At 53.1% G+C, this 22,908-nt stretch overlaps 1 long non-coding RNA gene and 1 other non-coding gene across 20 annotated transcripts in view, besides 4 other annotated features; both read left to right on the forward strand.

Moving 5' to 3' along the window:
- Nucleotides 2,142–3,057: an enhancer, noted in NCBI's record as "H3K4me1 hESC enhancer chr14:101272538-101273453 (GRCh37/hg19 assembly coordinates)". NCBI's record gives its function as "activates a minimal SCP1, AML or CMV promoter by ChIP-STARR-seq in primed H9 embryonic stem cells {active_cell/tissue: H9 hESC(primed)}" and the evidence as "EXISTENCE:reporter gene assay evidence [ECO:0000049][PMID:30033119]".
- Nucleotides 5,145–5,713: an enhancer, noted in NCBI's record as "H3K27ac hESC enhancer chr14:101275541-101276109 (GRCh37/hg19 assembly coordinates)". NCBI's record gives its function as "activates a minimal SCP1, AML or CMV promoter by ChIP-STARR-seq in primed H9 embryonic stem cells {active_cell/tissue: H9 hESC(primed)}" and the evidence as "EXISTENCE:reporter gene assay evidence [ECO:0000049][PMID:30033119]".
- MIR2392 (microRNA 2392) lies at nt 10,432–10,515 on the forward strand. The gene has a single exon (NR_039729.1). It is a non-coding gene; the product is annotated as a microRNA 2392 (primary transcript).
- Nucleotides 11,102–11,602: an enhancer, noted in NCBI's record as "H3K27ac hESC enhancer chr14:101281498-101281998 (GRCh37/hg19 assembly coordinates)". NCBI's record gives its function as "activates a minimal SCP1, AML or CMV promoter by ChIP-STARR-seq in naive H9 embryonic stem cells {active_cell/tissue: H9 hESC(naive)}" and the evidence as "EXISTENCE:reporter gene assay evidence [ECO:0000049][PMID:30033119]".
- Nucleotides 19,659–20,359: an enhancer, noted in NCBI's record as "H3K27ac-H3K4me1 hESC enhancer chr14:101290055-101290755 (GRCh37/hg19 assembly coordinates)". NCBI's record gives its function as "activates a minimal SCP1, AML or CMV promoter by ChIP-STARR-seq in primed H9 embryonic stem cells {active_cell/tissue: H9 hESC(primed)}" and the evidence as "EXISTENCE:reporter gene assay evidence [ECO:0000049][PMID:30033119]".
- Nucleotides 22,049–22,908, forward strand: part of MEG3 (maternally expressed 3) — a 34,919-nt gene continuing 34,059 nt past the window's right edge. For 14 of the 19 annotated variants that reach the window (NR_046467.1, NR_046465.2, NR_046472.1 and 11 more), the window contains exon 1: nt 22,049–22,158. This is a non-coding gene — a long non-coding RNA (maternally expressed 3). The remainder of the gene's footprint in view (nt 22,159–22,908) is intronic. The other 5 variants (NR_190993.1, NR_190996.1, NR_190995.1 and 2 more) reach the window with 2 other exon arrangements.

A 22,908-nucleotide genomic window follows, 5' to 3' on the forward strand; every position in this document is an offset into this window, starting at 1 on the left:
TCAGCCATCTCTGGGCTGCCCCTCAGTGCCCTCTCCTTCTGAGGGTCTTTCTCCTTGACACCTCCCTCAGGGGCTGCTCCTACTCTGCACAGAGAGAGCCCCAACAAGCGTTCCCTCTGTTACCTTCTCCTTCTGGTCTTGAGGACACTGGCCAGCGCTGTCTGTGGGCCACACCACCGGGTGGTGTCAGGCATTGTGTTCCAGTGTCCACCACCTGCTGCCCATGCCCACCCTGACCCCTGGGTGCTGGCCCTGGCATGGCTGCCAACCTTGCCCCGGGGACCCAAGGAAAGCAGTGAGGCCCAGCTCAGCCCTGCGCTCTGCAGGTCTCCCTGGTAAACGGCTTCCTGGTCCTCATCGGAAGGCAGGGGCCGCCCGGCGCTCCCCTGGACCTGACGGGGAGGCTGTCTTGCTCGTGTCCGTGGACCATCCACCCACAGTGGAGCCCTAGGGATGAGGAGGGACATGAAGTTGAGTGGTGAAGGGGAGACCCCATGGGAGGTGAGAAGCCAGCCCAGGGAGGAGGGTGAACAAAGTCTCCTTTTTTTTTCCAGACCTCTTCCAGCCCATGCTACATGACCCATGAGAAAGAGCAGAGCTGGGACGCAGGTCCCCGGGACTGGCATCTTCACGCTGTATCACACAGCGGCCTTTCATCGCCTCCTCTGTTCAAGGGAAACCAGCAAACCTGCTCCCTGGACTTTGTGGGACTGAGGCTGCCGCTCTGGGGAAACATTCCATCCAGTTCTGGACCCAGGAGGGCTCATCAAGTATTCATCTCACCCCTTTGCATTTCAAAAGGGAAGGTTTTCAGGCAAGGTGAGCTTGCATTCAAAGGAAAATGCATCTCTCAAAGTCAGCAAAGGCCCCCAGTCCTTTTTGGGGTTCAGCTTTTACCCCATGCTGCATGTAATCTACCTGGTCAGAGAGAGATGGCTTCACAAGACACAAAGGTGAATCTGCCCGCATCCTCCCTGGTCCTCCCCTGAGGCCACAAGGACACCCCTGGGCCTGTTAGAGCTAGGGGCACCTTAAAACTGAGCATGTCTCCCGACCCTCCAGGGGTGACACTGAGCTCTGTGGAGAAGCCCTTTCCTCCAGGACTGTCTTCTGAAATGCCAGGAACCCAACTGTGTGTGACAGGGCTCCCCCAGGGAAGCAGAATGGGGAGGGAGTTTAGAAAAGGGCTAAGAAACCACACTCTGCACAGCCACAGACCATTGCATTCTTCGGTTTTTGTTTTGTGTTTTCTCTTTTCTTCTTCTTCTCTCTCTCTTTTTTTTAAACAAGAAACAAGAATTATTCCTGTAATTGTCTTAAAGGTTAAAATATTATGACGGTTCCCTGATCGGGCTGTTGGGAGAATTAAATGCGATGAGGCTCCAGGGAACGTCAGTGTGGCTTTGGGGACTGCTGCGGCTGTGTACGAAAAAGGATGGCACTTCTGCCACCAGGATCCTTTCCCTCAGTCGTCCATGGGGAGCTGTTTGGGCCCCTCAGTTAGTCACTCATCAAATCCTGGCTCCTGGCATCTTCCACGTGTCAGAATCCTTTACCAGTCCTCCAGGGAGACCCTGCCTGCATCCTAATGGCACACTCAAGTCTTTGAGAGGAATTTTCAGTCATCAGGAACTTTCGGGGCCAAATTCTTACTAGAATATTTAAGCGCTCTGGATCTGCCAAGCCCCTGCCCCCAAACTCCTTTCTCCAGCAAGGGCTTGTGGCACCTGAGCCCCCAACCTCCATGTCAAATGTTGAGAAGCTCCTCATGGCTGCCCTCCCCAGCCCTGTCTCCATGGTTCTGTGATGGGGGATTTTGCACCCCGAAAGTTGCCTTTTCAGCAGCACACAGAGGCCTGGGACTGTTACAGGACTGGGATCTAACCTTAGCGCTGCCAGTGGAAAAAGTCAAGTGACTTCACTTTTCTTTTCTTTTCTTTTTTGAGACTGAGTCTCGCTCTGTCACCCAGGCTGGAGTGCAGTGGTGCGATCTCCGTTGACTGCAATCTTCGCCTCGCAGGTTCAAGTGATTCTCCTGCTTCAGCCTCTGGAGTAGCTGGGATTATAGGCATGTGCCACCACACGCCTATTTTTTGTATTTTTAGTAGAGACAGGGTTTCACCATGTTGGCCAGTCTGGTCTCAAACTCCTGACCTCGGGTGATCCTCCTGCCTCGGCCTCCCAAAGTGCTGGGATTACAGGTGTGAGCCACTGCACCCGGCCGCTTTTCTAGTTAGGCACCTATAATATTGGAGAATAACAAAAATACACCTCCAGGGATTCATGTGAGGATGCGGCGAAATAAATGTCAGGTCAAGGTCAATCGCCTCTGAGATCTCAGCGAATTAAAGAGTTGGCAGCGATCTGGCAGCCTGGGGGTCCCTGAAGAGCCCTCCTCACAGTGGAGTTGGGTGGAGGTCTCCCCAGCCCCCAGGAGACAGTGATGAGCTGGCCCAGCTCCCAGCCTGAGCTATCCAATCCTCTGAGCTCCTCTCCCCGCCTGGGGCAGGGGTGGTGCTGGCTCAGCAGGAAGCGAATGGAAGCAAACTGCCCTGGGGGTGGTGGTGTTTGGTCTGAGGAGCGGCTCCTGGCTGTTGCTTTAAGGAGAGAAGCACTGGCCGGGAGCGGTGGCTCATGCCTGTAATCCTAGCACTTTGGGAGGCTGAGGCGGGTAGATCACCTGGAGGTCAAGAGTTCAAGACCAGCTTGGCCAATATGGCGGAACCCCGTTTCTGCAAAAATACAAAAATTAGTCTGGGCGCGGTGGCTCACGCCTGTGATCCCAGCACTTCAGGAGGCCGAGGCAGGTGGATCACCTGAGGTCAGGAGTTTGAGACCAGCCTGGCTAAATGGTGAAACCCCATCTCTACCAAAAAATACAAAAACTGGCTGGACATGGTGGTGGGCACTTGTAATCCCAGCTACTTGGGAGGTGAGGCAAAAGAATCTCTCGAACCTGGGAGGAGGAGGCCGCAGTGAGCTGAGATGGCGCCACTGCACTCCAGCCTGAGTGACAGAGCGAGACTCTGTCTCAAAAATAAAAAAAATAATAATAAAAGAAGAGAAGATCGGCTGTGGTGGCTCATGCTTGTAATCCCAGCACTTTGGGAAGCCCAGGGGGGCAGATCACCTGAGGTTGGGCGTTCGAGACCAGCCTGACCAACATGGAGAAACCCCGTCTCTACTAAAAATACAAAATTAGCTGGGCGTGGTGGTGCACGCCTATAATCCCAGCTACTTGGGAGGCTGAGACAGGAGAATCACTTGAACCCAGGAGGCAGAGGTTGCAGTGAGCTGAGATCACGCTATTGCACTTTAGCCTGTGCAACAAGAGCAAAACTCCGTCTCAGGAAAAAAAAAAAAAAAAGACGAAGAGAAACAAAGCAGAATTCATTTTCCACCACTCTAACCTGGTCATGCTAGCTTGAAAATGTCCAAAGGTGGTGGGGTTGAGAAGGTAGGTGATCACGACGGGAGGCCTGCCCAGCCCCAACCCCTTCTTAAGTGCAACCCTGGGGACTTTGGAGTCAGGCTTTAGGGTCACCCTAAGGCTGCTGAGATGGAGAGCAGGGACCCAACCAGCGGTGTTGCGGTTTGCCCTGCATCATGCCGCTGAGTGCCAGGCTCGCTCGGCCCACCGGTCACTGGCACGCTTGCTTCCCACCACTATTAACGGTGTTGTGGTCTCCTGGTTCCCATGCCTGGAGGGGCTTTGGTACCCCGTGACCTCAAGTTGCCATATGCCTTGACTCTCTGCATCAGCTCACTGCAGGAGGGTCCCCGTGCCCCTTACAGTGCTGGCGCCAATATCGTAGAAGCTACATTGTGTTTCATTCATTTGCTTACTGGCTGGGGATGGGGTTTGGGATTGCTGGAAGACTTTGCCCATGCTTAGGGAAATGTTCCTCCACGACCCCAAAGAGCTTTGCCCTTCAGGCCCCGGGCGAGAACGAGATAAATATGCTTAGTACTTGCTCTCACTTTGAACTTGGTAAATTTCAATCCCAAACCACCCCTGAGAGCCTGTCTGGAGACACTTGGCTCCTTTAAGAAGAGAGGCCCCACAGGGTTGGAGAAGATCAACAGCCCAAGGAATTACCTTCTGCTCTCCTGCTGTCTCACAAATAGCTCTGTCAGCTGGGGGCCTGAGCACTGGAACTGGCAAAGCACCCCTGTGGAATGAGAATGGACTCCTTCCTTGGGGAAGAGTACACTCCTCTTTTGTTTTTTTGGCCCTAGGGACTATAGAATCGAGTTCCGCATTTTTGATGTAATTTGACATTTGCAGGGTTCTCAAGACCTCCAACAGCGCTGAGCCCAGGAGTTGGATTGGGCTACTGGCTACTAGGTGATTAGGAAGTGAGGATTTCATGCCCCAGATCCTAAATAGGGGATCACAAACTTTGCAGGTCTGTGAGAGGCTATTTTCCTCTTGCCACGATTCGCCAGTGGCGCGTGGTTCGCCAGTGGTGCGTGGTTCGCCAGTGGTGCATGGTTCGCCAGTGGCCCGCAGTCTGGAACACCATAACTGGTGGGTACAATGACATTCCCTGGGTTCTTCTTTCTCCCTGCTCCACTGCTGCCAGATTGTGTTTTGCTGCTGCTTTTTTTTTTCCCCCAAGACGGGGTCTTGTACTGTTGCTCAGGCTGGCCTTGAACTCCTGACCTCAATGGATCCTTCTGTGTCAGCCTTTTGAGTAGCTAGGATCACAGGCGTGAGCCAGCACATCTGGCTCAGGCTGTGGTTTGTGCCCTCAGTTTACCATGAATTGCCAGGCATTCATTCATCTCTGATCCTTGGAGTGGTGTGTGGCTGTTCCCTGATCTAGGGGACTGGTGTCACCAGAACGGCTTTCCTCACCCACACCAAACTGTCCAGGGTTCGCTCTGTGCTTCTCCTACCTGGGATGAGAGAACTAGAACAGCAACAACCACCCTTCCCTGGGATGACTTTGGTAAATTTCACCCTTTGAGCAGCTCTGTAAAGCCTGCTGGGGATGTTCCTTTAAGAAGAGGAATACTAAAAAGCCCACCGAATTTCAGATGAGGCTTCCCACTCCTCTTACTGTTTTGCAAATGTCTTTCTCTGCCTGAAGCCTCCGCTTTGGGGCTAGCAAAGCGCCCTCCTGGCCCCCTCCGCCCTGAGGGAGACTTGCTGTCCTCTCTTCTTTTCATCTCTGGGGGCCAAGGAATTGAATTTTGGGGTATTTGAGGAGATTTGGCATCTGCAGCTTCATGCCAAGATGCTAACTACTCCTTGGACAAGAGAGCACATAGTCCTACCACTGAACTGGGTTTGCCAGTAGCCCGCGGTTCGCCATTTGCCCGCGGTTCTCTGATACACTTTAATTTGCTACAAAGGATCTGAGCTGCCCTGACCTGCTAGGCTTCCTGGCCCTTCCCTGCACCATCATTCCCTGTGATTCACCACACTTCACCCTGGTTTGCAACTTAATGCGTCTCTGAGATTCTCAGATCCGCAGGTTATCATTGCGGGGTATCTGTGTGAAATAATGCCAACCACTAATCCCAGGTAACTTTTTGCACCCTTTCGAGTATTTGCTGAAATTCTGCAGTAGGAATTGCCCCAGACCTTCATCCTGGCTTAGGGAAACCGTTCTGAGGGTCCCAAAGACCCAGTTCTCCCGTCGAAAACCCACCTGTGACCCCAGTTCTTTTCCTTGATGGTTTTTGCAACCCTGACCTGCTCAGTGAGTGAGAGGTGCCAGCCAGTCTGGTGTTCTGTAAAACTGGAGAACGGAAGACCCATTTCCTAGCATTGTTGTACTGAATAAATGGAATGAATTTCATGGTATAGTTACTGAAAACACTACGAATTGTATAAGCATTTTGGTACCCATTCCCCTTCAGAACCACAAAATCCCTGATCTGCAGCTGGGGCTTGGGCGACCACACTACACTAGCTTTTCTTCATGTGTGGGGTGGACAGGTGAACCAGGTGAACTCTGCTCGGGTAGCTCCTTAATGTCTTGTGTCCACTCTGAGGTCATCCCATGTGGGATAAGGCAGGATAAGAAAAGCAACAACCATCCTCCCTGCCACCCCAAGATGAACTCTGTAAATTCTGTTCCTTACAGCCTGCCTAGGGACACCCTGTTTTTTTTTTTTTTAATGGAGTCTCACTCTGTTGCCCAGGCTGCAGTGCAGTGGCACGATCTCGGCTCACTGCAAGCTCCACCTCCTGGGTTCATGCCATTCTCCTGCCTCAGCCTCCCGAGTAGCTGGGACTACAGGCACCATGCCTGGATAATTTTTTGTATTTTTAGTAGGGACGGGGTTTCACCGTGTTAGCCAGGATGGTCTCGATCTCCTGACCTCGTGATCCGCCCACCTCGGCCTCCCAAAGTGCTGGGATTACAGGCGTGAGCCACCGCACCTTGGCCTGAACACCCTGTTTTTTAAGAAGAGTAAGATAGGGTAGAGTTTAAAAGACTAAATAAAGAAAAAAAAAGAAAAGAAAGAAGGAAAAAACCAACTTGAACACTCTTGAACATCAGGGATGGGGCTACCCCCACCTGGCGCTGCTTGTTATGTAAATGACTCTCACCCGAGGAGGCCGGCAGATGCACCTGGCAGCTGGCTTGATCTTCCCTGAGAATGAAACCTGCTTTAGGTCTGAGTCTGAGTTATTGAATTTTGGGGTCTCTGAGGAGATTGACACCTTTAGCTTCACCCCAAGACTGCTAGCTCCTCCGCGTCCCCAAGTAGAGGGTGGGCAGCTGGGCATCTTGGGAACTGGGGCATTGTTTACACCCCAGGCTGGAATTGCTAAGAGTTTGTGGATCTGTGAGAAATGACTTCGCTCACTGGGCTGGGCCTTGCCAGTTGCCTGTGGTTCACCAGTTGCCCGCGGCTCACCAGTTGCCCGCGACTCACCAGGTGCCTGCGGCTCACCAGTTGCCTGTGGCTCACCAGCTGCCCGTGGCTCACCAGCTGCCCGTGGCTTACAGTTGCCCGAGGCTCACAGTTGCCCATGGCTTGCTAATTGCCAGCGATTTGCCAATTGCGAGTGGTTCGCCAGTTGCCCGCGGTCCGCTAAACCCGTAATCCTGTGGTACTGTAACTGGCCACAATGGACTCGCCCTTTAGGCTTCCCGGCCCTCTTTTGCCCAAATGCAGTTCTCAGCAGTGCAGTTCACTGTGATTCACCACAATTCGCCATGGTTTGTGATTTCATGGGTCTTGGTGATTCTCAGACCACAGGTTATCTACGGTCCTCAGGCAACTTCCTGCTTGCCCATTTGGAGGAAAGCTGCTGCCAAATTGCTCCAGGCTTGTGTCCTGCACCTCCCCCATCCGAAACTCTACATTTCAAGAGAAATGGAATCTTGATGCTTAGGCAACCCTCCCCCAATGCTCTTGGTTACAATGAATTAGCCAGAACTCAGCCCAAGGAATCCCTGCTGGAGGCCAATGGTGGGGGATGGTGGAGACAGAAGTGGGAAGGGCGGCACCTCCCATGCCCAGGTCCGCTTCTGCGCTCTCTGAGCTGTTTGAGCAGAGGTGGTGGAGACTGGGGGTCCTATCATTGAGGACTAGGTGGGTGTGGTACTTCTGCAGGCGCAACCCTGAGCTATCATAAACTGCAGCCCCAGCCTCATTCTCATTCCAACACACAAGAGCGCGCCATGGCCACACGCACACTCACACGTATAACGCACATGCACACTTTTGTCTGGAGCAGCTCCATCGCCATGAGATACATATTGATTGTTTCCTGGATCAAAAGGTGCAGGGGCTCAAGCTGTGTGTTGTCTGAGGAGGAGAATGAGTTATTCCTGTTCCCCGCCACTGGACAGAACTGTGGATCTTGCTTTTCCAAAGGGGAGAGCAGCAAGGCTGTCAGGAGACAGAAGAGGCTGGGAAGACCCGAGCTCACTGGGCAGAGGACCCCTTGGTTCTGTGGCCCCTGAAGCAACTGTCTCAGTGGGATGAGGTTTTTGGGACAGTGGTGTCTCTCTCGGGGAGAAGTCATAGCTTGAAGAATTCTCCTCCGCCCTTGACTTGCCCTACCTTCCCTGAGCTCTTTGTCATCTTGTTTGTGTCAAAAAGGGTGGATCTTGTCCTCTGTTTGAAGCAAGAAAAGGAAGTATCTGAGTGGTTAGCCCTGAGGGAGCCTTTTCCTTTTGACCTTTGACATTTGATCTGTTGCCAGTGATGGCAGGAGAGAGATGACGCTACAGGACCCGGCATGGCAGGGCCCCGGTGCTGGGCCTACTTGTCCTCTTAATGTCTCCTTCTCAAGCTGGTCACTTCCCTTGGGGCAGTGGAAGGAGGAGAATGACCTGGATGGCCAGATTGGCACTATCTCAGTGCTCCCATACAGAGCTGGGGCAAGTCTCTGGGCCTCTGTAAACCTCTCTTGAGGCATCTGTAAAAGTGGAGGATGGAAGCTCTGTTGGGGAGGATTTGGTAGTAAAAATAAATTTTAAGAGGAGTCCCGAACTAGTAGCACAGGGAACCCTAAAGAGCCCTGCTCTCCACTGGATGGAGAGCTGGCTCTTCCCAGGTCCCAGGAGGCAACACCGACTTTGCTGAGTCCCAAGCCTATCATGGGCTTTCCCACCCAGCCTGGGGCAAGGAGTGGAATACGCTTAGCCCAGGCAATGGATGGAAGCAAACTCCCCCAAGGAAGGTGGTATTAGTCTCCCTGGCCATTCCCAGTTGGAGTTGATTTGTTCCTTTAAGAAGGGGAAGGATTCTCGAGCACTGGAGTTTTCAGGTCCCCTCCCAGTCTTGAAAGTTTGCAAATGACTCTGTTTTGCGGGAGGGCTGAGGCTGAAGTCCTGTCCATCTCTATCCTCTGACTCTGAGGACTGAAGACTGGGCTTTAGGATCTCTGGGTCTTGAGGAGGCTTGGCACCTGCAGAATCCACTCCAAGACTGCCTGAAGCCTCTCGAGCACTTCTTGCCAGCCACATGTACTCTTTGAGCAAATGAAAAGGGGACTTGGGGATGTAAACTTTCAAGACTGGGAGGGGACCTGAAAACTCCAGTGCTCGAGAATCCTTCCCCTTCTTAAAGGAACAAATCAACTCCAACTGGGAATGGCCAGGGAGACTAATACCACCTTCCTTGGGGGAGTTTGCTTCCATCCACTGCCTGGGCTAAGCGTATTCCACTTCTTGCCCCAGGCTGGGTGGGAAAGCCCATGATAGGCTTGGGACTCAGCAAAGTCGGTGTTGCCTCCTGGGACCTGGGAAGAGTCAGCTCTCCATCCAGTGGAGAGCAGGGCTCTTTAGGGTTCCCCGTGCTACTAGTTCGGGACTCCTCTTAAAATTTATTTTTACCACCTATCAGTGATTTCAAGCCAGCGGTGGGCCACGGCCGGTGCACCGGGGCCTGCCAGTCTGCTCTCCTGTGGCTCAGCAGGATTCACTATTGCTGCCCCGTGGCCCCGAGGTCCCATGGTTGGTAGTGCACAGGCACCCTGTGGCCCTCACTGTGGGGTTGATGTTGATGATCTTTGTGCTGTGATTTGCGGTGTCCCACCATGATTCCTGTGGCAGTGGGTCTGGAATGGCATGCTCCCCCTGGGTGTTTGATGAAGAGTTTGAATGGAAGCTGCCACAAGACTTTCTCCCGAGTTAGGGAAACTGAGAGGCTGCAAGACCCAGCTCCTCTGCGGAGAGTCACCTCGAACTGTGATTTCTGCATTGAGCCGTGTACACCAGAGAGCGGCTAGGATACGGTGATGCCCCTAACCTGGGACAAGTGTGTGTGTGTGTTTTGGGGGGGGCTTATGAGCCTTCTCACAACTGAAGGGAGAATGCTAACTTTCCAATCGGGAGGTTGTGCGCAGATGACACCCCAGCTTCCTTTGGGGTTCTCTGTTATCCGTGTGGCCAAGAACTCAGTTCAACATCCTGAACTTTCCAGTGTCCCTGCCCTCCCAGCAGGCAAAGGGGATGGAAGGATTGTGAATCCAGTTCAGCAGGGTGATGCCTCCTGGCGCAGATGCCAGGCCTGCTTCTTGCTGGGTAGATCTGTGCCTCAGTTTCCTCATCTGTAAAGCGGGCATGGTCAAGGACCTACCTCTTGGGTGAAGATTAAATGAGCTATTAATAAGGATAAAAAGCTCTTCAAACCCTGCCTGGCACATACTAAGTGCATGCTAAATGCTGTACTCAGTTTGCAGACTGATAACGCTGTGCCGGATGTCCTTGTCGCTCTGTGTCTCTTTGCGCTGTGCAAGTATTTCTGCAGGGACAATTTCTAGGAGTGAATGTCTGGGCTGAGACTCGTGTGCATTGAAATGCTGGGTACATATTGCCAGAATGCCAACCGAGAAGTCACACCTAGTTAGACTGCAGACATAGTGTAAAGTTGATGAGAGAAGCTTCGTGGGATGGGGTGGCCTTCTAATGGTATCTTAAGGAACTAACAGTAGTCCCGCAGGAATATTTTGATATGGTCCCTCCCAATCCAGCCATTCCTCAGACCAGGTGGCTCCCGAGCCACCCCAGGCTGTAGGATGGGGGTGAGAGGTGCTAGATAGTCACAAAACTGAACTAGCCTGAGCGGGGTGAGGGCCTAAAGCAAACACAGCCTCAGCACACGGTCATGCTGGGGGGATTTGAATCTTGGTGTAGAGTGGCAGAGATGGGGAGTTTCCACTTTATTTAAAGGGAACGTGAGTTCAAGTGTGAAAATCTTGACCTAAGGGAACACAGCTCGGCTTCTGTGCTCTGTTCAGCATAAACTTTTACTTGGGGGCTTGCTGGCCAGGCTGATCTCAGATCTCTGGCCCAGGGATCCCTGACCCAGCCTGCCAGGAATGTGGGCTGTGGGGATGAGGCCATCTCGACTTGGCACAAAGGGCTCCTAGAAGTCATTCAAACCCCGTTTCTGCCGTGCATTGCCTTCCCCTGGATTTGGGACCTAGGTACGGCATAGACTTCACTATGCAAATGAGTGATGATTTCCGCCGAGTGCCCAACCCCCTTCCCCAGAGGTCTAAGCTGTAAAGCAGAGGGTGGCCCAGGAGGTGCCCCAGAAGGGTTGTAGGCTAAGCTGCTTCCTTCCTACCTTCTGGTCAAACGCATACCCTCCCATGGTTCTTGTGCCTTCAGGCTCCCAATTCACAGAATACACAAGGACTTGGGATGAAGCCGGAGTGACCGTGGGCTGCCCTGCGTCTCCCAGGTTTCTGGAGCTGTGTGGCTAGGGGCTCCTTGGAGCCAAAATAGTTTCTCATTGGGGTGTCTGACCCATAGGCCTAGGACCCCCATTTCTCCTGGCCCAATCACTCACCAGGGAGGACATGGCACACGCAGAGTCAGCATGGCTGCCAGGTTCCAGGCCCTTGTTACATCTTTGCCTTGTTCATTTGGGGTTGCTTATTTCAAGCCTTTCCCTCCAGGAAGTACTACCTTATGTTCTAAACAAGCCCCATGATGCTACATGTATAATTTGAGATGCTATGATTGGGATGTGGGAGATGGAGCTAGCGCCTGCCTTCTTACCCCTTCCAGGTCCACATTTCTGTGGCCCTGGGATGGGCAGGAGGGAGCCTTCCCATTCCAGGTGGACGTGCTCTTCCCCTTTGGTCAGGATGGCAGGCCTGCGGAAACCCCTGCCAGAGAAGCGGTTACCGAAACGGGAGTTGGAGAGGTCTCACCAGGGAGCGCTGGAGACCTTAGCCCGTTCACCTTCTCCCCTCATCTTCCTCCCTCTACCTCCTGCCCCTACACTCACCCTAGCCTCCTGCCCAGCCTGGTGGGAGAGGTCAGCTTATATAAGGTCCCCTGGCCACTTCCTGACCTCCTCAGGGGGGATCTTCAGCCTAGGTCCACTCAGATTTCTCCAAATTAGGGCCCCGGTATGGGCTGTGGAAACCAGCCCTAAGTCTGGGCCTGAGTCATGCCTGCTGTTCAGGGCTTACGGGAGGGCCCTTTGTGTAACTCCAAAGCAGGGGACCGGGATTGCACACTCAAGCCTTTCAGGAACAGCTGAGGCTGGGCAACCAGACAGTTTTGCTTGGATCTCTGGGGTGGCCACGTGGCCATACATTCAATGCTCTGAGATGCCTGTGCCCTAAGCTAGGCAGGAAGTGACTTACAGCTGAAAACAGGATTTGAATGACTTCTGCTCCGGGGAGGCCCCTCAGTATAAACAGTGAGAATTTCTGGGAAATGTACATAAGGCCAGACTCTCGGGAGGGGATATGGGCCCAGATTCCTGATGCTCCCACCGAAGTGAGAGGTGCCAGCTCTTCCTGGGCATCCCAAACCTCCACGGGCTCTCTCTTGTGGTTAAATGACAGCGTCTTACTTCTCATTTCATCTTCCCAGGGAGAGCGTTCACTCACTCTCAGGGCCTGGGCTGAGCAAGCTAGCCATCTAACATCTAAGCAGAGGCATGCAGAGTGCAGCCTGAACACAGTAGGTGTGCAGCTCAGCTCCCTTGTTGGCTCTGAGCTCAGTGAGGCAGGGAGCTTGACCCATCACTTGTCATTTTATCCCTAGCCATTGGCATGTAAAATAATGCCAGCCCTAGGCACCCAGGAAGTACTTCCTGAATGGAATGAATGAATGGATAAGTAAGACAATCTGGAATTGTCTTTTAAAGTTGCCAGAACTCAGGCTAAAGGTGCAAATGCTCTGCTGGTGTATTTTGAAGCAGCCTCTTCTGAGTGTGCCTGGCCTGGCCTCCCTGCCTATGTTCCCTGTGCTCCCTACTCCAGAGTTCCACCTCCCCAGCCCTGGACCTTGACCCTCAACATCCCTATTTAGTTGGGTAACGTGTGAGGCTTTTAGAAAATAGTCTGTCGCCAGGAGTGGTGGCTCATGCCTGTAACCTCAGCACTTTGGGAGGTTGAGGTAGGAGGATCTCTTGAATCTGAGAGTTCCAGACCAGCCTGGGCAACATAGAGAGACTCTGTCTCTTAAAAAACAAACGAACAAACAAAAAAACTTGATGTAGTGGGAAGCGCCTGTAGTCCCAGCTACTTGGGGTGCCGAGGCAGGAAGATTGCTTGAGCCCAGGAGTTTGAGGCTGCAATGAACCATGATTGCACCACTGTACTCCAGCCTGGGCAACAAAGTGAGATCTCGTCCCAAAAAAAGATAAATAAAAAGAAAATAGTCTGTTTTAGTCTGTATTCAGAGCAAGCCTGTGGCATGAATATCAACTTTCCTGTTTTTGCAGGGGGGAAACCGAGGCCTGGCAGGGCGAAGTGGGCAGGACCCTTCTCAAAGGGCCAGGGTGCTAGTGGCCACTGTCCTTCCCCCACCACCTCCACGCCCCCATCCCCCCACAGTTCACGACTGCAAAGGCAGCTTTAGGTTGGGAGCTGGTGGAGCAAAAAGGCCGTTCAAAGGCAGCCTTCGTTTGCTTTTCCTTATCATCACATGTGCAAGGGCAGCTCCGTTTACCTAGAGGCAGGCGTCTTTGAGCTCATCCTTTCCGCAAACACCTAAAGGGTATGTTGAACATTTGAGCCCCTGTCTCAGAGGGCGCAGCGTTTGCACAACATAAGCCCTGGCGGCTCGGTAGACGGGTATGGGGGGTAGACTCAGGTTTCTGGATGAAGCACTGAGAGCCAAGGTGACCTGCGGTGTTCCGGGATGACCTTTGGTGACCTTCGGTCCTGTCCAGTGACCTGGGGTGGTGAAGTTACCCCAAATGGGAGGAAATGAACTCTGGGTGGGCGAAGGCTGCAGGACGTGTTGGCATGATGGCTGTAGAAAGTGCACACCAGGGCTGGTGTGGAGGGCGCCTCGGCTGCTCTGAGAATCTTCCACTACCCCGGCCTGGGATTCCCAGGAAAGGCTGGTGGTGGAGGCCAGAGAGGCTCACAGCCCTTGTCAGCCAGGCCTGGAGCCGTTCCTGCAAACAGGAGCCCGATGTAAAGGTTCTGAGCTCTGCATTCTTGTGGAGTGGGTGGCACTGTGAGGCCTGCTCTCCTTGGGGCAGCGGGGGCTCTCTGCAGGAGGAGGGAGGATGCCATTTGGGTTACTGAGCACCTACTGTCTCATTTAACCTTCTCAACACCCGGGGGTGGGGGGGTGGGGGTAGGTACTATTATCCCTATTTTACAGGTGGAGAAATTGAGGAGAGGTGAAAGGATCCCAGCCAAAGTCAAGTGGTGGTATCAGAATTCAAGCCAGGCTGTCTGAGTTGGGAGCCTGTGTTCTCACCCACCTTGCCTCATGGCCTCCTCACTGCCAAATGTCCCATGCCAGGCTGCAGAGTCCCCACCCCAACCAGGAACAAGAGAGCCACAGGAAAGACGGCAGGGGCAGGCCAAGTGTCATGGGAATATTTTTATCTGGAATATTTGTTTTCCCACTGAGCTTGTAAATGACATCTCAGATCCCACACTCTGAGACAGGAAGTCCTAAGTAGGAAGAGAGCACCCTACCCAGCCCTTGTTGGCCACAAGGAGGGAGGGCAAGGGGCCAGGTGGCTGTGTTAGGGTGGCCAGCCTAGGCTGCTGATGGCCAGTGAGGCTCAGCCAAAAGGCTGGGAGTGGGGATGCTTGTTTCTCTTTTCCCTCTGACCGATTATGGGGACTGGCAGAGCCCATCCCCAAAACCACAGAGGGGCGCAGCTGTTTTGGAAGGCATTTCAGAGGAAGCATTCAAGTCTGTCCCAGACTGTCCCACATCTGTGGGAAGGGAAGGGCAGCAGGGCACCCATGGCACAGGCCTTTGCTCATGGACCTAGCTGATATATTGGATTAACTATTTAAATTTAAATTTTTTTTTTTTGAGATGGAGTTTCACTCTTGTTGCCCAGGCTGGAGTGCAATGGCACGATCTCGGCTTACTGCAACCTCCGCCTCCCAGGTTCAAGCGATTCTCCTGCCTCAGCCTCCAGAGTAGCTGGGATTACAGGCATGTGCCACCATGCCTGGCTAATTTTGTATTTTTATTAGAGACGGGGTTTCTCCATGTTGGTCAGGCTGGTTTGGAACTCCTGACCTGAGGTGATCCGCCTGCTTTGGCCTCCTAAAGTGCTGGGATTACAGACGTGAGCCACCGTGCCCGGCCAAACTTTATTTATTTATTTGTTTGTTTATTTATTTATTTATTTATTTATTTATTTATTTATTTATTTTTGAGATGAAGTCTCGCTCTGCCACCCAGGCTGGAGTGCAGTGGCACCATCTCGGTTCACTGCAACCTCTGCCTCCTGGGTTCAAGTGATTCTCCTGCCTCAGCCTCCCGATTAGCTGGGACTACAGTCACCTGCCACCATGCCTGGCTAATTTTCGTATTTTTAGTAGAGACGGGGTTTCACTACATTGACCAAGCTGGTCTCGAACTCCTAATCTCAAGTGATCTGCCCGCGTCAGCCTCCCAAAGTGCTGGGATTACAGGCATGAGCCACTGTGCCCAGCCAGGTTAACTTTTACGAAATTACAAAATAAAATTTTTCTTCTTACAAAATAAATGCAAACTACATGGAAGACAAGAAGGTCTCTTCATCCTCACTCCATGTCATATGGCTAGGGCCTGCCATAAGTACAGCACACATTTTTCCCCAATTTAATCTTCTCAACTGAAGAAGGTATTTTGTCCCCATTGTACAGATCATGACAATGAGGTTCAGAGAGGTTAAGCAACCAACCCAAGACCACACAGGTAGCAAGTGGACTAGCACCTGCAGTCTGATGTTGGGGCCCAAACCTTCAATCACCAGGCAAGACTGCCGGTCACCCTGCAAGCTGCACTCAATGGTTTGAAAGAAAGGCTGCAATCAGCATTTGTGACATTGTGTTTATGGGGTGGTCAGCCATCCCGCCAGGTGCACAACGTGTGGCTCGGTAGACTCTGGGCAGCACAGGCCACTGCATGGAGTGGCACTCACCCTGCACTGCCATGTGCTGCCCTCTGTTTGATTCTCATCTCCTTTCAGCGTCAGACAGCGGTGGCAGGCAGCGGTGGCAGGCAGCGGTGGCAGGCAGCGGTAGTAGACTGATGCGGTAGGCAGTGGTGGCAGGCAGCGGTGATAGGCAGCGGTGGCATTGGTGGCAGGCAGTGGTAGGCAGCAGTGGTGGCAGCAGTGGAGGGCAGCAGTGGCAGGCAGCGGTGGCAGGCAGCGGTGGCAGCAGTGGTGGCAGGCAGCGGTGATAGGCAGCGGTGGCAGTGGTGGCAGGCAGTGGTAGGCAGCGGTGGCAGGCAGCAGTGGAGGGCAGCGGTGGTAGGCAGTGGTGCCAGGCAGCGGTGGAAGGCAGCAGTGGTAGGCAGTGGTGGTAGGCAGCGGTGCCAGGCAGCAGTGGTAGGCAGCGGTGGCAGGCAGTGGTGGTAGGCAGCAGTGGCAGTGGTGGCAGCAGTGGCAGTGGTGGCAGCAGTGGTGGTAGGCAGTGGTGGTAGGCAGCGGTGGCAGGCAGCGGTGGCAGTGGTGGTAGACTGCCGTGGTAGGTGGAACTCATCATCCTATCTCCCAGGGATTGTCACTTTCCCCCGAGCCCTCATGAGCTTCTGAGCAGCTCTACGAAGCAAGAGTCACATGGATTTGGGCTTTTTGAAGAAAGTTCAAGGAGATTCCTACCTTTGCTGGTACCCTCCTCTGGGCGTGGGCTGCGACATGGACATCAGCAAACTTAAGCTCAACGAGGGAAGATTGTGTGCCCTCTGGAACCTCTGACCGCTGCCTCTATGTGCACGGGCCCCTAATCACAGTGCGTCTCCTACGCACCCTTGGCTCCCCCAGGAGCTGGTGGCTTCTGGGTTAGCTCTGAGACAGAGGTATCACCAGGCTTGGCTCAGGGAGGCCAACTGTGTGCTCTGGAACCATCCAGACCCTCAATGTTTAAATTGAAAGTGTGCCCAGCCTCGGCCCCCTTCCCTTTGACATTAAGACTTAAGAAGTTTCTAGTCCTTGTTGAAACCTAGTACAAATGCCTCCTCTAGGAGCCTCTTGGGTGGGGTGGGAGTTTTTCAACTGTCAGCAATCTTTTAGTTAAAAAAAAAGAAAAAAAGAGCAAACTTTCCAGTCCTGTTCTACCTGGAACACAGTTTCTCCTCTGGGGCCCCTCCCCAGGCCTCTGCAGTTCTCTGTCAACACAGCAAAAGCCACCCCCTCCCTAGCCGCAGGCAGTTGAATGGAGCAGTTCTTTGCTCCACCGAAGGAAATATTTCCATGGAGTGGGGCCAAGAAAACCCCTTGCTTGAATCTGGGGCTGGCCCACACCCAAAGCCAGGGGGCCCCGGGTGGGGGTGGGGTGGGCAATGTGGCTGTCTTTTCCTAGTGTCAGGATGTGACTTCTAAAATCCAACCCATGGCAGTGGTCTGCTTCACCAAGACCCCGTTCTTGGCCTGCTTGGTCTTCTCGGAAATGGATTTCTCTAGGTCCCCCCAGTAGGAATGAAATCATTGAAGTGCACTTTTTTTGCTTTTACCAGCTTGGAATTTGTTCACCTCTGTGGCAGGTTCAGGAGAGTCCTTCCAAAGATTGGGCGCAGCTAGGTGACTGCCACTGGCACCCACCTCTGTGCCCACCCCACAGCTATCACTCATGCATGAATGCCTCTGTCCAGGAATGGGGACTTATGCTATGCAGGACATGAATCCTGGGTCTCTTGATTTTTATTTACTTAACAGGAAAAGATTTTTAAATTGAGGTCAATAAAGAAGAGGCTAAAATGGTCACTTTTCTTGTACCGTTACATTAAAACGAATTTTTTTTTTTAACAGTTGGGGTCTTATTATGTCACCCAGGCTGGCCTTGAACTCCTAGGCTCAAGTGATCCTCCCCGCTTCAGCCTTCTGAGTAGCTACGACTATAGGCATGTGCCACTGTGCCTGGCTTTGGACTGCAGCATTAAAACACACAAACACACACACACTATAAGAGGAATACATGCCAGTAAAGGAATTCATAAAAGTAGAAAGGAAGAAGAAAATTCACTCAGAATCTATCCATCCAGCACAACTAATGGTACCATTTGGGGGCATTACCCTCCAGCTCTTTTTCATTGGCACTAGTTATTATAAAAAGTAGTCCCAAAGAGCAATGTCCCCTGCCTGTCCACATACCACGCTCCTCCAGAGGCTGATGAGGAAAAGGGCAACTCTGTGGTTGAACATTTACTCTTGGGTTACTGTTAGTCAACGGGGAATGGCTGGAAGTCTAGCTAACTCAAATATACAGATGCGCTGCCTTGAAACCCAGCAGTCTACCTGGAATTAAACTTCATCCTTGGCCGTCTGTGAAAGGCGTTGAACTTTATTTGTCTTTTAGTATCTACAATTTGGCAAACTCTTCCATGCAAGGTTGGGGCTGTGCCCAGAACTCTGGTTTTAAGGGGAGCAGAGTGTTCCCGGCACTGGGAGCTGGGGTCGGTGTGTTTTCTAGAAGAGCTGCTGTCAATTTCAAGATCCCAGAAGATAGGCCTGGTGTGTTTGATCATTTCCTCCAAATCCTTGACTACTTGATGTCAAGCCTCACCTCTTATGGGAGGCAGACATTGTATTTGACAATGACAGGCTTCCCCTTGTCCCACGAGAAGGAAAAACTCAGCCCCATGGAAGACCGCCCATGCGCTCAACTGCTTCTCTGACTTGAGCTGAGGTCTATGGCAGAATGGGAGGGGGTTCAGTGATGTTCAGAGGCTTGAAGGGCCAGAGGCTGGCACTAGAGCTGGGGATTGGGACTGCAGTGGCAGCTTATATAGGAAGAAGTCAAAGCAGCCTCCCTATCCCGGCAGCCCCCTGGGGGGAGTGCAGAAGAGGAACTCAAGAGATCTCTGGTGCATGCTAAATTTCAAGGGTACGGGGAAAACTGGGACGTCGGCTTAGAGGGGTAGGCACTTGGGGTTTGCTGTTTGTAAAAGTTCAGAGTATGCTTTTTGAGAAGAGAGTATATTTGCCCATGCCTGGGAGATGGGTATAGGAGGACCTTGTCTTCATTTCCTGGCTGGCTCTTAGGAGGTTTGTCCCCTTGCCCATAAGTATGTACATGTGGATAGGAGGCTGCTCACATGGCTTTTGAGGGTTCTCAAGTATGAATTAAAAAAAGAAGAAAAATGTGTGCTTTGAGTTAGATCTGAGAAAAAAAAAAAAAAGGCAGCAAGCTAAGCCATGCGTCTGGGACACTGGCTCGCCTCCAGGATTTCAGGAGAGTTGGGTTTCAGCATGCACAGAGAGAAAGTGCTCCATTTCTCAAACCTGGATTTCCTTGTCTGTTTTCCCCTATAGATACAAATCTGAGCCCTTGAATGGCCTTTTTGAGGGAGGAAGGCATGTATAGCATTGCTCAGATTGAGAAATAGTTCAGATCCAAATATTACTATAGGTTTGGCTCCTTCAAGAATTTCTTCCATTGCTTTGGACCAATAAATATTTAAAAAGTTAGGTTCTGAGCTCCAGAAAAGCCAACAAAAACATTTAAACATATGGATTTTTTTTTTAAATTGTGGTTAAACCATGTTCAGTGGAGATTAGTTTGCAGCAGTCTTTTCTTTCTCTCTTTGCCTCGCATTCCTGCTCCCCCCCCTCATCATTTTCTTTCTTTCTTTTAGGAAGCCAGAAGGGTAAACATGTTGCCATGGAGTTCTGTTTAAAATAAAATACAATGGAAAGAAAAGCAGCATGATGAAGTAACCACATGGACTGCAGGATACACCTGATACTAATTACTGTCATGCAGAATGTTCTGGAAGACATTTGACTCGCCTGATGTATACATTCAAATCAAGCAAAGTAGGACTGGAAGGCTCCTTAGGGACCATCTTGTCCAAGTCTTTCCTTTTTCCAGATGAGGAAGTAGGGGCCCACAGAGAGGGAGGGCCTGGACCTCAGCCTCCCAGCGCGGAGGGAGCAGAGCCGGGATTCAAACCCGTGGTGCTTTGTAGGAAACCCGTAATTTCCACGGTCTTTTTCCTTGGGCTGTCAGTAAGGCCCTGAAATAGGAGAGTGGGGTTTACTGTGAACCTCGAAGGAGCAGGCTCAAGAGCCAGGGGGCCCAGAATAGGGCAGAGGCTGGCTTCTCACTGGGAGGCTCAACTTCCCGCAGGGGCGCCAGGCCCTGACAGGAGAGACTGGACATTAGGTGTCTGGAAGTTTCTCCTTCTAGGGGCTCCAGGAGCATCCCACCTGAGGCCTGGGGCTCCCACCGGAACGTCAACTCATGCCCTTGTGGGGCTGCAGGGCTGACGCGGGCTGGCACTGTGTCTACGACAGCCTCCCGGGCCCCCGGGTGCGTGGCTGCGGATGCTCTCTGGCGGCCACCACAGTTCCCACGCGCGGCGGGTGAATGCGAGCCCCTTGTCAATGCGTGCCCCTCGCCTCTGCCCCCGAGAGGCTAGCAACCGGGCCTGCCGGCGTCTGATTGGCCGTGGGGGCCTGACGACAGGGGCTCCTGGTTGCTGATTGGCCCCGGCCAGCTCTGGCTGTTTCCTAGCTATTAATACTGTGGCTAATAAACGTTCTCCTGTTGACGCGGGTGCTCGGAGCCATGATTTTTTGAAGCGTTCTTGACGTCTGTGGCTGGTGCGGGCGTTTCTGCTGTGCAAGGCCTGCTTCCGGGGCTCTAGTCCCTGGGGCTCCTGGCAAGCTCCACAGGCTGTAAAGGGGGTGTTTTCTTTCTCCTTCGTGTTACCTGACATATTAAAGCAGCGCCCCATGAGGACCCCAACGTCCCACGTCTCTATCTCCCCAACAGTGCGCCTGTTTATGAAAAAACGAGCCCCCCACACGCCGTCCCAAGGCTCGGCGCCTCTAGTGACCTGACGGTCAATGTTCACCTCCCTAGTCATTAGCTGTGGACGTAGAAATAGCCTTTCTCCCTTCTTTTCAGCCCTGGAATCTCCCGTCTGCTTTACAGTCACCTTGTGGGATCGTTGGGCATGGGGGGCTCCCTCTGACGCCGCTTAAACCCCCCAAAGAAGTGCGGGGGAGCGATTCTGACTTGATGCCCTCGGCGGGGCCTCTCTGCTGTCCTCTTTGGGGCCCCTTGCTCATCCTCACCTGCTTTCTGTCACCGAGCACTCCATCCTTGTCCTCCTGGCTGCCACCCACCTGTCACCCTAAGATAGATCCTCGGTCCCTTTCAACAGCATTTTGACCTTTGCGAGAGGACATTTGATTGACGGCCCTGCACGCTCTGCCACTCAGAGCCGGGCAGAGCTGCCGAGGGCTCCCACCTGTTAGGGATTAACTCCCATGTGCCAGCTCCGGAGCCGAGGCCGCGGCAGGGCTCGGCGCAACATGTGTCGCTGCCTGTTTTTCGGGGCGCTGGGGCTCTTTCAAAGGGCATGTGTGTGGGGATCACCCCAACTTTGAGGGGTAGCTCAGGCATCTCCACATGGGACACAGTCCGCCCTCTAAAAGTACTTTCCTTAGAGGGCACGGCTCCTGTCTGGATTCTTATTACAACCCTGGTGTGTGTGGTGGGGGGTACCCCTGGTTAAGGTGGAGGAAGCGGACCCAGTGGAAGAGGAAGGGGCATAGCGGGTTCCGCGAACATGAGTTGTAAGCGGCAGAGCCCGGGACTCCACAGCCAGGGTTTTCTGACTCGGAGACGCGGAGCTCTGTCTCCCATGTCAAAGAGAACCAGTCAGAAACGCACGGGTGGGCTGGGAGGGGGTGACAGCCTCTGGCTTACATCTGGGAACCAGTTATGTCGCCCGGGCATTTTATTTTCCTGAACAATAAGAGAAAGCATGATTTTCTTTCGCTAAGCCCGCATCCTCCGATGGATGTTCCGAAACCGCCAGGTGTGGGATCTGCGCCCCGACAGCCCCACCTTGGCCATCGGCCGCCTGAGGACGGCCAGCCATCGGGGCGATTCCCCCCACACATTGTGCCTGAATTCACCCTGCCTGGCGAGCCGGGCTCACGCAGGGAAAAAGCACCCGCGACCACAGGGTGTTGGTCATGGCGGCCAGGGGCACTGCGGCAGAATTTTTTCCTCCCTTCTTTGCTGCAATCTGGGTGCGGCTAGAGCAATTTGTCATAGAATCTGGGGGGCTCATTTTTCCGGCCAATCACTTTTAGAGAAATGAGCGCATTGCAGCAGAATGCGCTGACGTCAGAGACCACCCCTTCTGCGCCTCCATATAAACCCCACCCAGCCAGCCCCTAGCGCAGACGGCGGAGAGCAGAGAGGGAGCGCGCCTTGGCTCGCTGGCCTTGGCGGCGGCTCCTCAGGAGAGCTGGGGCGCCCACGAGAGGATCCCTCACCCGGTGAGTGGTTGGCCATCCTTGCCGCAAAGGATGTGCAAAAGGAAGACGGCATCCGCTTCTGGGATGGGCTCTGTCCTCCTGGACATGCCGAGAGCCTGCCTGATCCTGGGTCCTGCTGCTGGAGGCGGCCACTTCGCCTGGTCCCCGAGCGTCCGCAACAAAATTTGTCAGAAAGAAAATCTTGAGGCACATTTCCCTGGGGGGAAGTCAGGGCTCCTCTCTGGAGGGTCCAGTCCTTAAGGGTGGGCTGGGTGGTAGGGACTTCAGTTCAGAGGAGCGGGAGGAATCAGATGGAACTCCTCTTGGATTCGGGTATACGGCAGTCACTGGGGGGCGAACCCCGGATTTCCTGTATTAGAAGCCGCCTCTAGAATCGCGTTAATAGTGGGAGATATGGCGGCGATGCCTTCTGCGTGCCCCATGAATTAGGGGGGGAAGCACCCGAATAGAAGGGTCTCCCGGGCATATTTGCCTCGCCAGCTGTTGGCCAGGTTTTTGGTGGATCGTGGGCGGGAGGAGTGGAGGTTCCTCTTCGCGAGGTTTTCCGAATCCAAATACACAGGTTTAGTGCAGTGTGGACCCCAGGCAAAATGTGGAGTAAAATTTCTACCCGATATCATCTGGTTCTGCCCTGATCAGCCACTTTCACAGTGGAGAGAGATGGCGCCCAAGTGCAAACCTGCCAGTAGCCCCCTAGGATCAGTCCTTGCCGAAGGGGGGTCGTGGGATTGGGGGCACTGGGAGAATAGA

Source organism: Homo sapiens, chromosome 14, assembly GCF_000001405.40.
Source record: "Homo sapiens chromosome 14, GRCh38.p14 Primary Assembly".
NCBI lineage: Eukaryota > Metazoa > Chordata > Mammalia > Primates > Hominidae > Homo > Homo sapiens.